Here is a 15,878-nt window from a genome sequence, read left to right as displayed (position 1 = left end):
ATTGTGAATAGTGCCACAATAAACATACATGTGCATGTGTCTTTATAGCAGAATAATTTATAATCCTTTGGGTATATACCCAGTAATGGGATGGCTGGGTCAAATGGTATTTCTGGTTCGAGATCCTTGAGGAATCACCACACTGTCTTCCACAATGGTTGAACTAATTTACACTCCCACCAATGGTGTAAAAGCGTTCCTATTTCTCCACATCCTATCCAGCATCTGTTGTTTTCTGACTTTTTAATGATCGCCTTTCTAACTGGCATGAGATGGTATTTCATTGTGGTTTTGATTTGCATTTCTCTAATAGTCAGTGATGATGAGCTTTTTCTTTCATATGTTGGTTGGCCGCATAAATGTCTTCTTTTGAGAAATGTCTGTTCATATCCTTTGCCCACTTTTTGATGGTGTTGTTTGTTTTTTTCTTGTAAGTTTGTTTAAGTTCTTTGTAGATTCTGGATATTAGCCCTTTGTCAGATGTGTAGATTGCAAAAATGTTCTCCCATTCTGTAGGTTGCCTGTTCACTCTGATGATAGTTTATTTTGCTGTGCAGAAGCTTTTTAGTTTAATTAGATCCCATTTGTCAATTTGGAGGCATTGCTGGGCTCCCCTCCTGCAGGCTGATCAAGAACTGTAAGGGGAAGAGCTGTAAGTTCTTGAAATAGGATGACTTCAGCATGTTCTAGAATGGCAAGTGCTGAGAGGCTGTGGGTGGGGCACTGACAGCATCTTGACCACAGTTCCCACTGTCCGGTAGTCAACTCACAATGGGTCAGGTGTGGGGAAAATTATAGCAATTTTGAGATAAGTTCACTTTTCCAATCTCTGGTCTAGCCCCTCTAAACCAAGGTTTAGAACAGTGGTGTTCAACAGAAATATAATACAAGCCACATATATAATATAAAATTTTCTAGTAGCATATTTAAAAGTAAAATGAAACAGGTGAAATTAATTTTAGTAGCATATCTAACTCAGTATACCCACATGATTATACTTTTAACATGGAATCAACATACAAATTATTACTGAGATGTTTTGCATTATTCAGGATGAGGGTACTTAGGCTTTGAAATTCAAAGTATATTTTCCACTTGCAGCTCATCCCAGTTCCAACTGGCCACATTTCAAGTGTTCAATAGCCACCTGTGGCTACTGTCTATTATATTGGACGGTGAAAATACAGAACATTTCCATCATTGCAGAAAGTTTTATTGGACAGTGCCAGTCTTGTTAGTTTGTATCATTTACCCAGTGTTAAGAGCTTATAGTTGACAAGAAGTCAGAGGAGAACCCTAGGCTCTCTGGCTAGGCTAGAATCTTGAACTTTAATGCTTCCAAAAATAGGAGAAGCCAGGATCTTATGGGGCTTCAGGTTGTTGATGCCAAGATTCGCTTGACTGGTTGCACATCCTCCCAGACATAAGAAGGTCCAGAGGTCAAGCTCAGGTAGATCTCTTAAGGTAAGGACCAGAACACTGTTATTCATCACTGTGTCCCCTACCCAGTTGCTGCCCCATGGAAAGCCCTCACAAGAGTTCTGTTGAATGTAGATTAGAAGGCCACCTGAGTAAGAAGTCATGCATAAAGTGGTAAAGGGACAGTTGGACCAAGGAACCTAAAGGGAAAAAAAGTATCTTCCTGCTCACTAATCCTTTCTTATCAGATCACTTACCATGACATCATACAAAGAGAGAAAGAGAGGTGCAGAGCAGTGAAGAGAATTTTCCAGCAAGACCATTGTGTTTGCCTGGAGTCAGCTGCTTTGACAATGGTCCCAACACCCACATTTAACAAGAGGCAATTTGCTCAGGGTTTTATTCCCACAATAAATCTTACCATTTTCTGCTCCTTAGCCTGCCTGTCTTCTCTTCTCTGTATTACACTAACAGCTCCTTTTCCCAGCAGCAGTGGTAATAAATGGTGTGCTCTCAATGTAGAAGTTAAGGTTTCAAGGTGAAGCCTTTGGAAGCGATTCCTTTGTAATTTCATTTATGGCCATGCCATATTTTATGGTGCAACTTACTAACTCTGTGGGTGGCTTTGTGTGTGTTCCAGAAAAAGGGAGAGTGAGACACATCCCCACCCTCCAACTTTCACACACCCTTCCCAGTGGAATTTGGAGGTTAAAGCATCTCCTGGGTTTTTAATTTTTATTTTATCTTATTTTTAATTCTAGGTTCAGGGAGTACATGTGCAGGGCTTTTATACAGGTATATTGCATAATGGCGAGGTTTGGGCTTCTAGTGAACCCATCACCCAAATAGTTAACATAGTACTCGACAGGTGGTCCTCCCGGGTTTTTGGAAGTGAGACTTTAACCTCTCCTCTCCTCTTCATGCTTGCTATCTAGCCAGCCATGATAAGAGATGTTTGAAATATCACTGCTCTAGGAAGCATTCCCCAGTCTCTTCAGTCCACCATAAGTCCCCTTCCCTAGAACTCCTACAGCACTGATTGTCGAGCCTGGCCTATGTCTTCTGTCCACGATTAGGCAGCCATTTCTTTTGAAAGTGGCAATTATGGAAGAATGTTACTTTCCTGTCACCTTGTCCACTTCATACACAGAGCTCAACCCCACCGAAGCTGGTAATTGGTTGACTGACTTAATGAATGATTGGCAACCTCCATCTCCATTTTGGGGGTTCTAAAATCACCCAATTAGTATGGCTTCTCTAGGGGGCACACAATGCAACATGCTTGGTCCACATCCTCCAAGAACGGGTCAAGAGCCCTACAACCAAGGAGGGAAGAAATTATTATTTCACACACACACACACACACACACACACACACACACACACACACACACTCGTGAGGGTTCTTAAAGCGCTTCTTGAGAATACAGTCAATGTATTCTTTATTGGGTACATAGTGGATGCTCAATAAATATTTCTTAAATAAAACCAGTGAAAGTGGCCACCATGACTTTGTTTATAATGGGGAGGTTGCATGATAAACTGGGAAAAGCATGGGGAACAGCTCTGAGCTCAAATACTGCCTCCACCTCAAGCTATCTGAATGGCCCTGGGCAAATGCCTTACCTCTGAGAGTTTCAAGTTCTCATCTGTAAAGTGAGAGTGATAATACCCATTGCCCAGAGTAGTTTCGATGGCTACATGAGACATTGCCAGTAAAACTCTTGGGTACCTAACAGGCACATGGGAAACACCAGTTACTTTCCCCTCTGTCTGGAATGTTCCTGGCCACCTAGCTGACTCACAGACACCTTCTAAGACTCACACTGAATATAACAGGCCAGGAAAAGGTGATCACTCCTTCTGCCCTGCTTTCCTTTTATCTCTGCAGGCAGCTATTATTATACTTCTCACCCTATACTTCAGCAATTTCAGTCATTGCTCTTCATTCTTGAGGTTGAGGCCAAGCTTACGCCATTTATTTTATTTTATTTTTTTCTTTCCATCTTTTAGTTTAGGTTCAGGAAGTATATGTGCAGATTTCACACATGTACTTTACATGGGTAAATCACAAATCTCAGTGGTTTGTTATACATGTTATTTTGTCACCTAGGTAATGAACATAACCTGATAGGTAGCTTTTTGATCCTCACCTCCTTCCATCCTCCACCCTCAAGTAGGACCTGGTGTCTCTTGTTCCCTTCTTTGTGTCCACAGGTACTCAATGTTTAGCTCCCACTTATAAGTGAGAACATGCAGTATTTGGTTTTTTGTTCCTGCATTAATTCCCTTTGGATAATGGCCTCCAGCTCCACTCATGTTGCTGTAAAGAACATGATTTTGTTCCTTTTTATGGTTACACAGTCTTCCATGGTGCATATATACCACATTTACTTCATTCAGTTCACTGTTGATGGGCATCTAGGTTGATTCCTTGTCTTTGCTATTGGCTTACACCATTTTGTATCCTCAATGCTTAGCATACTGCCTGGCATATAGTATGCACCTAACCAAAACTTCTTTTTCTTTGCAATAAAAAAGATTAAAAGGACACACACTGAAATTTAACAGTGGTTTTATCTATGGTTAGTTGGATTACGGGTGGTTTTCTACTTTGCAGGGGCGGGCCTCATTTGTATTTTTCAAAATATTTTTCCCTACAGTTACCATGTTTTATTTGAGTAACAACATGATTCTGTAAGAATAAATAAATATATGCTCAGTGGACAGATGAATAGATGGATGGATTGACAGATAGGATAGACATAGTCAATAAATTTAAGCAATTTCCATTCCTCTATATTCTCAGTATCTGGGACTGAGACTGATTTACTGCAGGGTGAGAAAAGCAATGTCCACTCCCCATGAGCCTGCTCCCTGCTTCCTACCACAATGGCTTTGAAGATCTCTGTCACCTGGCCCCATCCATTCTGTTCAAACTCACATTCTCTGAAACCCCATTCTGATCAGGAAAAATCCTAGACTCCACTTCCACCATGGTCTGTGTTAAGACTTACAAAACTTTTTCTATAAAAGGGCTAAATAGTAAATATTTTAGTCTTTGGGGGCCATACAGTCTCTGTCACAATTACCCAACTCTACTGCTATAGCATGAAAACAGCCATAGGCAATACATAGATGAATGAGCATGTCTGTGTCCCAATAAAACTTTATTTACAAAATCATGGCAGGCTGGATCTGGTTTGCAGGCTGCAGTTTGCCAGCCCCTGCTCCATGACTTTACCAATGTTGTTCTCCTTCTTGGAAGGCCCTTTCTCCTGCTTGACTATTTAAATTCTATCTATCTTCTGCCTTTCAACTATAATGTGACTACTTACTATCTACTTCCTTAGCCTGTTGCTATTGTACTATAATTATGTGTATTCTAGTAGGTACTAGGTATCAGACAGTTTGCTGTGAAATTTTCTAATTTTGGGGGGACTTTTGAAGGGTGTGTTCTGGAATTATGCTTGGAAAGGACTGGAATGGGAGGATGTGAATATTTTATCAATATTTATAATAATAATGTACAGGGCATTAGTGTTATAATGATGTAGTCAGCATAGTGATTCCCACTTTAGAAGAAAAACATCTAACAAAAAAAAATGTTAAGTAGGTTGCTAAACAACAACCTAATGGCAGAATAAGAAAGAAAAGCCAGGTATTATGACTTATGAAGTGTCCTCACTCTATTTCTAAAATCTAAACGAAAAATAATAATAGCAACTTCTGTTGGGGAATTTAAGACCCAAATGCTTAGGAGTTTTTAATGTCCTTGGACAAGCTGGGATGGTAAATCAAACCTTACCACTAAAGATATTGAAGTTTCCCCTCTAAATTAGCCACCATATAGCAGTTTATGCAGAAATCTGGCTTCAACTTTCATTTCTCATTTTTTTTTCTGATCTCATGAACACTGTGCCTGCACTCTTGGCTCTGTGAGATGGGCTAAAGTTTATGCTTAGAATCACGTGGCAGCCCCAGCTAGCTCTCAGCAAATGTGACTGAGTAGTCCATAAATGGTCCTTATTTGGTGGCAAAATGCTTGGGTCCCTCTCCCTAAAAAGGAAATAATACAGAAGATGTGCATTACAGTCCCATGCGACAGAAAACACAATTTCTTGGCTTTTAGAACCACTTGCTGACAGAGCAGACCCTTAGAGAGCAGAGATGCAAAGCCTGCTGACTCACACTCGGGGCTTTTCTGAACATTTCACAGCCCCGTACTTTTCACCAGCAGCAGCTCTATTTGTGAGCACACACCATCTGGCCCCAGAGCTGCTGGAACTAAATAAAAGGAATACATTTGAATAAAGCCTTGACCTGGGGATTTAAAACACACTTCCTATGGCTCCCCTTGGAATTTTAGACTTAATGACTTCCCCCTTCCTTCCCCTCAGTTCATTCCAATCATACCACATCTTTTTAAACAGAGCTAGTGTATCCATTCATTGATTCAGTCACTCATTCACTCATTCATGCATTCAATAAGTAAGCAAAGTATATATTGAGCACTTCACAAATGCCAATACTTCAGATAGAGTAGTGTAAAAGTTAGACGTGGTCCCTATCCACCCAGAAATCACAGCTAAGCAGACAAGACAGACAGTAAACATATATAACTGATTATGAGAAAGATTATGTTTGGGACAGTACAGTGTGCTATGAGTAAGATAAATATGTAATTTACCACCCTAACCTAGATGCTTTTGAGAGTAGGAGGAGGTGCTATAGATAACTATTCCAGAACAACAGGTTAAACCAGAATTGTCCTGGACCAGGCAGGACATATGGTTCCTCTAGCTTTGGCCATTCAGCAAGGGGCCTAACTCAGTTATAGGCCTGTTTCCTCTCCTCTCTCTGTTATCCTGTTCCTACCTTCCCCTATCTCCCCCTGCTTTTGATCCTTTATAGGATAGCAGATTTCAGCGGCATGAGTGATGGAGCCCATTGATGTCAGTGATTTAAATCCAGTGCTTGGCAGTGTTTCCAAGCATTGGTATGTCATCATTTCCTGCTACCCCAGGTTACCTTGAGAGGGACCTTCACCATATTGAGGCTCTAAATCTTGACTTCTGTCTTTGAATCCAGCTCCCTTCCCACATATCAAGAATGTGGCTGGACTTCTGCCCAGGACTGGCCTGTGATTTTATACTCAGTAGCAATATGAGGAGCAGGGTGGTTTTGGTGTTCTGGGAGCTGTTTCTCTGGGGATAATGGGCTTACAAAAATCCAAAGCTCAGTCTGGTGTGGCAGTCACCTAGAGGGCATTCCAAAGGTATAAATACCTCACTGAGGCATTCCAAAGGTATAAATACCTCACTGACGACCTACCATTTTGTTCCACCTATAAGTCTGAGCTGTGGAAGATTTCTCTTTTCATTATCAATGGCTGACCTGAAAAATTGTCTCAGTAATGGCATCCTTGGGGCATCTGGAAGATGCTTGTGAGGCTTTGTCCCATAGCCCCTATAGGCCCATCTCTGAGTTTACCTGAAGCGACAGTAGATAATTCCTGGAAGGTTGGTGGCTTCTCACCTCAAACGCCTATTAACCCTCTGCCTGAGGCTTCCAGCAGTCCCTCCTGGAGCTTAATCAGCCTGCACAGGATAACCCTCAACCAGTGAAGAACAGGAGTTAATGGATATGGTATTCGGGATTGAAAGCGACCTCAATTATCCTTGCCTCGTGGTATTCATGCCCTTGTGCAGTCCTCCTCACAAAAAAATAGGGCTGACCTTTGCAACCAATATAATATAGCAGGAAATAATGGTGTGCAACTTTAAAGGCTGGATCACAAAAAGCATTGCTGCTCCCACCTTGTTGTCTTTTGGATCACTTGCTCTGGGGGAAGCCAGCTGCCATATTGTGAGGACACTCAAGTAACCTTACAGAGAGGGCCATGTGGTAAAGAGCTGAGGCCTCCTTCAACAGCTAGCAACTGAGTTGTCAGCCAGGTGAGTGCGCCATCTCAGAAACAGATCCTCCAACCCCAGTCAAGCCTTCAGTTGACTGCAGCCTCAGCCAACAGCTTGCTGCAATCTTAAAGGGAGACCCCCAAGCCAGAACCATCCAACTAATCCAACCTCAAATTCCTGACCCTTAAAACAGTGAGAGAGTATAAATGTTAATTGTTGCTTTAAACTGCTACATTTAGGGTAATTTGTTACACAGCATTAGTGAACTAGCATGGCAGATAAACACCCTAGCTTCTGCAGAAGCACACACCATGTGGTTTCTCAGGCAATCTTCAGTGGAATTGAGCCCCAGTTGTCCACAGTGGTAATATTCTCACTGTATGCTTTTTATTTGTTTTGTATTTTCTCCCCTCTGTGTCTCATTCTCCCCACTTCCTCACTTTTGTTTCCTGTGATTACCTCCCAAATAAACTACCTACCCTCAAGTCCTTGCCTTGGCATCTTCTTTGAGAGAACTCAAACCAAGATAGGTTATCTTGCTCATACTCATGAATCAACCTTTCAAAGGAAGAGCAACTTTTGTAAACATGTTTATGTCTTTAGCAAATTTTTATCCTAAGTATTGTCTTTATTTTTTTTTAAAAAAACCCTCCCATATTGTATGATTCCATTTATATAAAATGTCCAGAACAGGCAAACCTATAGAGACAGAAGATAGATTAGTGGTTTCCTTGGACTGAGAGTGGGAATGGGGACTGACAGCAAATGGCACAAGAGATCTCTGGGTATGATGGTGATATGGTTTGAGTCTGTGTCCCCACCCAAATCTCATGTTGAATTGAAATCCCCAGTGTTGGAGGTGGGGTCTTATGGGAGGTGATTGAATCATGGGGGTGGTCTCTCACGGTTTAACACCATCCCCCTAGTGCTGTTCTCATGATAGAGTTATCATGAGATCTGGTTGTTTAAAAGTGTGTGGCATCTATCCTCTCTCTCTCGGTCCTGCTCCTGCCATGTAAGATGCCTCTCCCACTTTGCCTTCTGCCATGAGTAAAAGCTCCCTGAGGCCTCCCCAGAAGCAGATGCTGCCATGCTTCCTGTACAGCCTGCAGAACCATGCACGAAGTAAATCTCTTTTCTTTATAAATTACCCAGTCTCGGATATTTCTTTATAGCACTGTGAGAGTGGAGTAATGCAGATAGAAATCTCCTAAAACTGGATTGCATTAATGGTTGCACAACTCTGTATATTTGCTAAAGGCCATCGAATTATACACTTTAAACAGGTAACTTTTATACTTTTTTTCCTTTATTATACCTCAGTGAAGCTGTTTTAAAGAAATAAAAATGATTTTCATGGCTGAAACATGTATAGAAATGGGGCGGGGAAAGTGGGACAGAGAAAATTGAAAGAAAGGAGTCCTATTGCTAGCCACTTTCATTTCATAAAAACTAGAATTACTACAGTATCTTCCAAAATAAAATCAACATATTTTATAGAGGCCAAGTAATAATTAGGCCAACCTTGCCCACTCAAATATGGAAAACTAACAGTAAAGACAGGATCTCATGTGGGCTTTGTCTAACCAAAGGAGTCCCCCACTCCACATACCCAGAAATGCCAAATATGTGGTTTAAGAACCAATAGCCACATCTGATATATAAGAACACTCTTTGGGAACTTGCCTAAAAAAGCCATCAGCAACAGCCAACACTTGTGGGGTATGAGGTGCAGTGGGAGAGGCTGTAAGATTCTGGTATCTAAACCCCATGACGAGAAGGAAGAAAGCACCAATAGTAGTCCTTCGTTTCCCTAGGATTGGAAGAACCTAGGGGCACACACATATCTTCTTTCATCCCTCTTGCTGGGGCTGCCAGGGAGAAGCAATGTCTCCAGGGAAATGAGGAATATAGGGCATTCTATAATAGGTACCACCTTCCTTCAGATTGGCCAGGCCAGGCTCCAAGTTCGGGAGCATGGGACAGGAAAGGAATGAGAGAGGAAAAAGGAGATTCACTCCTTTACTACATGTTTATTTTCCAAGCTTGAAGGTCCTACAGAGCAACCGAGTAAAGGTCTTAACTGACTGTACTGATTTCAGGACATGTTGGGAAGATTTGTTATGGATATGGGGGAAGATGTAAGAGACAAGAGACACACGTATAGAAACACACAGGTAGACATGCAAACATATATGCACGGGCTGCTTAGTTGTATCAGTTAGCTTTTGTTACATCACAAGCCACCCCAAAACTTATTGTCTTAAAACAGTCCCCATTTACTTAGAACAATTCTGAGGTTTGTCCAAGTAGTTCTTTTGGTCTAGGTTGAGATATCTCATTTGCCTGGAGTCAGCTAATGAGTAATCGAGAGGCTGGGTGACCTAGCATGGCCTCACACATATGTCCAGCATTGGCAAGCTACTGGCTGGGGTGATGAAGGCAGCTACATGTTTCTCATCATGCAGCAGTCTAGCTTGGGCCTCAGGGTTTCAAGAGCCACAAGAGAGAAAGCCTCAATGCACAAACACATTTCAAGAGTCTGCTTGCTTTATGTTTGCCAATGTCCCATTGGCCAAAGCAGGTCACGAGACCAGCCCAGACTCAAGGGGTAAAGAAATAGATACCATCTCTTAATGGGAAGATTTGTGATGCCACAGGAAGGGGAAATATATGGGGGCCATTATTAATATAACCTACCACACCTGCTTGTTTTTGCTTTTCCAATTCTCTTCTCATTTAAGATCTGCAGGTTGTCATCCTTCTTCTCACTTGCTAGAGAATGTGTTTTGTTCAACAGCTGTTCTAGCAGCTAGAGAATATAATTTATTTTGATATGAACCATTTTGCCCTGATATTAATTAAACTCTAGCTCTTTCTCTTGAAAAGAAAATTCTCCATTTCCCTAATCAACTATGACTGCCATATAGATGTCCCCAGAGTCTGGTTACAAGCCAAATATAGGATGCCATTCCAAGGGACCTGTTGGCAGTGTGGACTTGGCTCACAGGCCATGGAGGGCTTGGAATAAAGAAAAACTGAAGAGTCAAAGTCATGAAAGAAGAGAGAGAAAGAGGAGAGGAAGTGCTCAGTTAATAAAATTGGCATTGATGTCACCATGGAGGAACACCCAAGCGCATACCACTCAACACCTCAGGAGGAATTTGTAGCCTGGAGACATTAGCTGCATCTTTTTGAAGGTGATTTAACTGCATATGGGATGAAGGTTAACTAATCATATTGGAGGGAGAATACTCTGCATTCAATTACATACTGTCATAGTCAGTCAACACTATTGGGGTCTGTGAGGAAAGACGGAATAAAAAAGATTATTGGATAATGAAGGTGAGTAGAAAAGGACACATCTGGCTAGGGAAGATTTTCCAGGAAAGGAGAGGGACTTGAGACTTCAGTTTCAACTCCCCACTGTGAGACAAACATGTGGGAGAAGGGACAGAGCCCTTTAGCTTGCTTCCCTCCTGCTTTACCCTGCTCCTGAAGCACTTGCAGCTCTAGCCTAAGTTGGTATCAAGCAAGGATTCAAGAACTGTAAATAATCCCCTTGCCCAAAGCCCATGGCGTGAGTGCACACACACAAGACAGATGCAGGATAGGCCAGAGTAGAAAAAAGTCTCAAAGAAGCCTGAAGAATATTGCTATTCCCTCAGGACATGAATAAAATGGCCCCCCGAGCAGTCCCTTGGGGGATTTAAGGGCTTCCTCTTTGGGGTAAAGACTGCCAGTTGTCCCTTACAATCCACTCTCCCCTTCTTGCTGGGCACACGGCTTGACTACACTTCTGTGTCCCTTGAGATTAGGCTTCATCATATGGTTGAATTCTGGCCAATGGAATGTGAGAAGAAGTAATGTATGCCACTTCCAGAATTAGAATTTAAGATGGTAGGCCTGTCTCCATGCTATCTTTCTTCTTCCCACCAACTGGAACCCACAGCAATCTAGCTTCAACTATACAGATAACAATACCTCAGAGCCACACAATAGAAGGACCTTGGGTTTCTGATTGACTGTGGAGATTTGTTTCACCAATCTGGATCATGCACCTCTGAATTGTTACCTGAAAGACAAATCAACTTCCTGGTTCTGTAGGCTATGATGTTGTTAGGTGTCTTTGTTACAGCACGTTAGCTTTTATCCTAACACTTTCATTTGTTCAACCTAAATATCATAGGGTCCCTTTGGAAAATTCTCCTCTGGCCTTAAGGTCATTAGAAATACATATCCAAGCCTGAAAAGACTGTAGAATGATGGATCTATTTCTGCAATTTTCTCAGTAAGGGGGAAAAGAGTTGTTGACATTGATCATGACTCAGCAAAACTGCTTCAAAACATATTTTTTCCCCAAAGTTTACTCCTTGTGGCAACCATCTTCTCTCTGTGTGTTTTTTGTTCTCTTGCTTTTATGCTAGCACCCCCAACGTACACACACATGCACACACACAAACACACACCCCCTCATCATCTATTTGCTGTCCTTCTAGAGCCTCCTCTTCCTTCTAGTCTGGTCTCTCTTGGCTTCCCCTATTTGTATCCTTTATCAGCCATCCAGGTCACAAAAACAAAACATCATCCTTAGCACCTGCCCTTATCAGAAGGCAGGAAAATAAGTGAAAAAATAACTACGTTAATGTTTTGTAGTCAGAAGAAAAACAAATAACTTAATACTTTTCCCTCTCCTACATAGGGAAACAAATTCTAATTGAGCATCTATTACGAACTCACAAGACAGGTGTAGAACCATCCGGAAGGAGTCTTGAAGAGCAGCCAATGGGGAAGATTAAAGGTCAGAAAATTACTTGCCTCAAAATTATTAATGGAAAAACCAAGACTAGACCCTGGTCGCCTAATCACTCATGCTTAACTTCTAGCCCTATGCTATTTCCTCACCCTCCCCTATTTCCTGCTCTGAAACTTGCAGGGGAATGCATGAGGCCCCTCCACAGAATGCTTGCTGGAATCTTAGTACTCTAGACCCTGAAGGAAGGCAGGCAAGGCAGAGGGCTGGGGAAACTGAGTCAGTCGCAAAGGCAACCAGAGCAAATGCTTCACACCTACCCTATGATCCAGCAATTTCACTCTTAGATATATACTCAAGAGAAATGAAAATATATGCCCATAAGAAGACTTGTAAATGAATACTCATAGTAGCTTTATTCAGAATAGATAAAAACAAGAAGCAACGCAAATATCCAACATGAGAATTTATAAATAAATTATACTATAGTCATACAATGAAACACTATCCAGCAATAAAAAGGAATGAACTACTGATATATACAACAACATGGATAATCTCAAAAACATTGTATTGAGTAAAGAAGCAAGACATAAAAGAGTACATACTGTATGATTTCACTTTTATGAAATTCTGGAATAGCCAATTATAATATATAATGACAGAAATCACAGTAGCGATTGCCTCTGGTGAAGAATGAGGAATGACTACAAAGGGGCACAAGGGAACAATCTGGGGGTGATTGAAATGCTCTATATCTTGATTTGTGAGGGGCTTATACAGGCATATACATTTACTAAAGCTCATTGAAGATCTATGTATTTCACTATATGTAAATTATACATCAAACAAGCACACACCTAAAAATAGTATTGGAAGAAAAAAGACTATTAAAAGAAAAATGAACACATTAAACTTGTAACTTTTGTTTCTTGCTATATAAGATACAGACGATCTCTCCCCAGTCTCATTCCTCTCTCTTGTCTCCCAGTTTCTTCCTATCCTTGACCTTCATTCTATCTCTGATAACCATATCAAAAGCTCTCCCCTCCCCTCCCCACTTCAAAATCATCATGCCAAATTTTTTGCGTGCAAATGTCCAGCTTCAGCCAGTGACACAGCCTAAATGAGCCGTATGGTTCCAAATCAGGCTAAAGATGAATGAGACAAGAGCAGGGAGGTGATGATGGAAGTGCTTTTTAAAAACATAAATCAATAGTTTTATTAAGACAAAAATTGACAGCGTGGTACGAAGTTTACATGTAAACAAAGTTTTCACAGAAACCTAACACATGCCTAAAACAATTTTACGACGTAGCTCTAGATGCAAGTCTAGATGACATCAAGAACTGATGGAGCTCCTGACTTAACACAGAGCATTTTGAGTATCACTTAATTCTTAGGATTTCCTTTTAAAATGTTTTTTGTTTTGTTTTGTCTTGTTTTAAAGTGAACCACTGCCCCAGTATGAAAGTTTAATCTTCTCCTGATACAAAGGCTTTTGAAATCATTCACCTCCTAAACTGATTCAATGAAACTTGTGCTGTCAGTGATTGAAACCTGCCACCAATGGTTTCAGAGTTCAAAGCTCAACAAACAGAAAGGCTCCAAGAGTTCTCCATCCTGAGCATAGGCCCTTGCCTTTCCCTACTCTTCCATCTCCTCTATCACCCTCTTCTCCTTCCCCAACACCTCAGCCTGTGGCTTGGATGGCGAAGCTGATATTTATAACTTCATAATTGGAAAATAAAGGGTTTTCTTCTGTAATTTCAGGAATTAGCACCTCTAAGACAGAATGATCCACCTGTGTATAGGCTCCAATAAAAGGTTTTCCCTCCTCAGTCAATTTCCATCTGCAAAATGGCAGCTTTGGTAACTTATGATCTGGCTTAGTTCTTTGTGGGGAACAGGATTAAATTCAAGCAGGGAATACCTTGGCTTACAGGTTTCAGACATTCAGGTTTTTTAATTAAAAAATAATTTTTGTGGGTACATAGGGGGTGTATATACTTTTGGGATACACAAGACACTGAGGTATGAACATGCTTATTAACAGCTTTTAAACATTCTTTCACAGTCCTTATTTATGGTACCAATGACATTTTTAATGTAAAATATTCTGGACATAGAAACAAATCATTGCCCTTTCCATTGTTTCACTATTTTCCCAATCTGGTCCCAAATGGTAATAAAAATGAGGCTACCCATCTCCATTTCTCCCCACTCCATCTCTCCCTCCCCCAAAGCATACACCAGTAATAGCCAAAAACTACCTAATGCTACACTCTAAAAACGCAGAGTTGACACTATTGGGAAGAAGGCTGAGGGTTGTGGAGATGCTCTTTGAGGATCTTTTTGCTCTCTCACACACCCAATTCTGCAAGTTTTCTCCTTCATAGAAAGCCCTTTGCTTTTCTCAGCAAAGTGCAACAAAGGTTGCCTTGAAACACTTATCCCGCTTCCCCTCCACTGGAACCATGTGCAAGCTACACAGCTGGGAACAGTTTTGAAGCACTTGGCCTGCTGCAGGACACAGAGACTATACTGGCTCTTCAAAGGACATCTTCTCAAGCCACCTCTGTGATGTCAACACAAGTCTTAACCCCTTCTCTCCCCACTTGAAACTCCCAGCCAGATGTGACAGGGGCTGGTGCTCAGGAGAAGTAATTCTTGCCATCTTTTTTTGCCATTGCCCTCCTGAGGTAGGAATGCCCACATCAGCCTTTCCTCATAGAAGGATATGACAACCTGTGGGCACTTGACATTGGCTTCCTTGACGGGGACGAGGTCAGCCTCATCAGAGTTTTCCCATTTCATCAGGAACATGAGCTCTCCACTGGAGTCTGTAGCTCCAATAATCTGCTCAGCTCCAAAGCCCAGCAAAGCCTCGTGGCTTTTCTGACTCTTCTTTCTTCTCTGGTTTGCTCTCCTCTCCCTTATCTTCAGAATGAGAATAAGCTTTGCACTTGCCTCTTTCTGATCTATCTGTCTCAGGTGCTATTTTCTGTGGCTGTAGAAACTCAGCAATGAGGTCGCACAATCCAGGTTCTCTTCTGGCTCCCAAGAGTCATCTTCATCTAAGAAACTCTTCCACTTTAGGAGGTGCTCCACTTTGCTCTTTACCAGTTACAGTCAACAATGTTCTCCACCACATAATTTTCTTCCTCCTCTTCTAGCACCTCCTCTATTTCCTTCTTGTTTTATTTTTCCCCCATAGTTTCTGACAGCTTTCTAGTGTAAAGGGTGACACTGCTCAGAGCAGCATTCAAGAGCCTGAGAGGAGCATGTCATGTTGGACTCACTGGGGGAGTGGCACCCAGGAAGGCAGCAAGCAGGGTGGCGGCAATGGATCCCCTCACTGAAGCAGCATATCAAAGGCCCTGGCCAGCAGTCCTCCCCTCTGCTGAACCTGGAAGCTCTTTACCAATTCCTGGAGCACAGTCCCACTGGGGAACTCCAGGAGATGGTCTGGAAAATATTGTTCACTTTGCAAGTTATTGGGTTATATATACATGAACTCCCATTCATCATTGGTTGAAGGCTGCTCATAGTAAATGTCAATTCTCCAGAACTTCTGGCCCACTGTGTGCACAGGCAAGGTGGGCTCTGGTGCCCAGAGAAAGCCCTTTGGCAAAAAAAATGCAGAAATTGGCAGTTGGAAGTCAGATAAACATGGACAGAAATGGTAAGGCCTGACCAATTAAGGGTGGGGCATTAATACTGTCAGCTACAAGACCTAACCACATAGGATCATATATTATTCTCTGATTCAGTCTGGTTTCTTAATC

General features: G+C 41.7%; 1 pseudogene; it reads right to left on the bottom strand.

Annotated features, from left to right (window-relative positions):
* CBX1P4 (chromobox 1 pseudogene 4) lies at positions 13,298–15,499 on the bottom strand (annotated as a pseudogene).

Source organism: Homo sapiens, chromosome X (genome assembly GCF_000001405.40).
Source record: "Homo sapiens chromosome X, GRCh38.p14 Primary Assembly".
Taxonomy (NCBI): domain Eukaryota; kingdom Metazoa; phylum Chordata; class Mammalia; order Primates; family Hominidae; genus Homo; species Homo sapiens.
The sequence above is the reverse complement of the archived record's forward strand: the minus strand, read 5'-3'. Positions and strand labels throughout refer to the sequence as shown.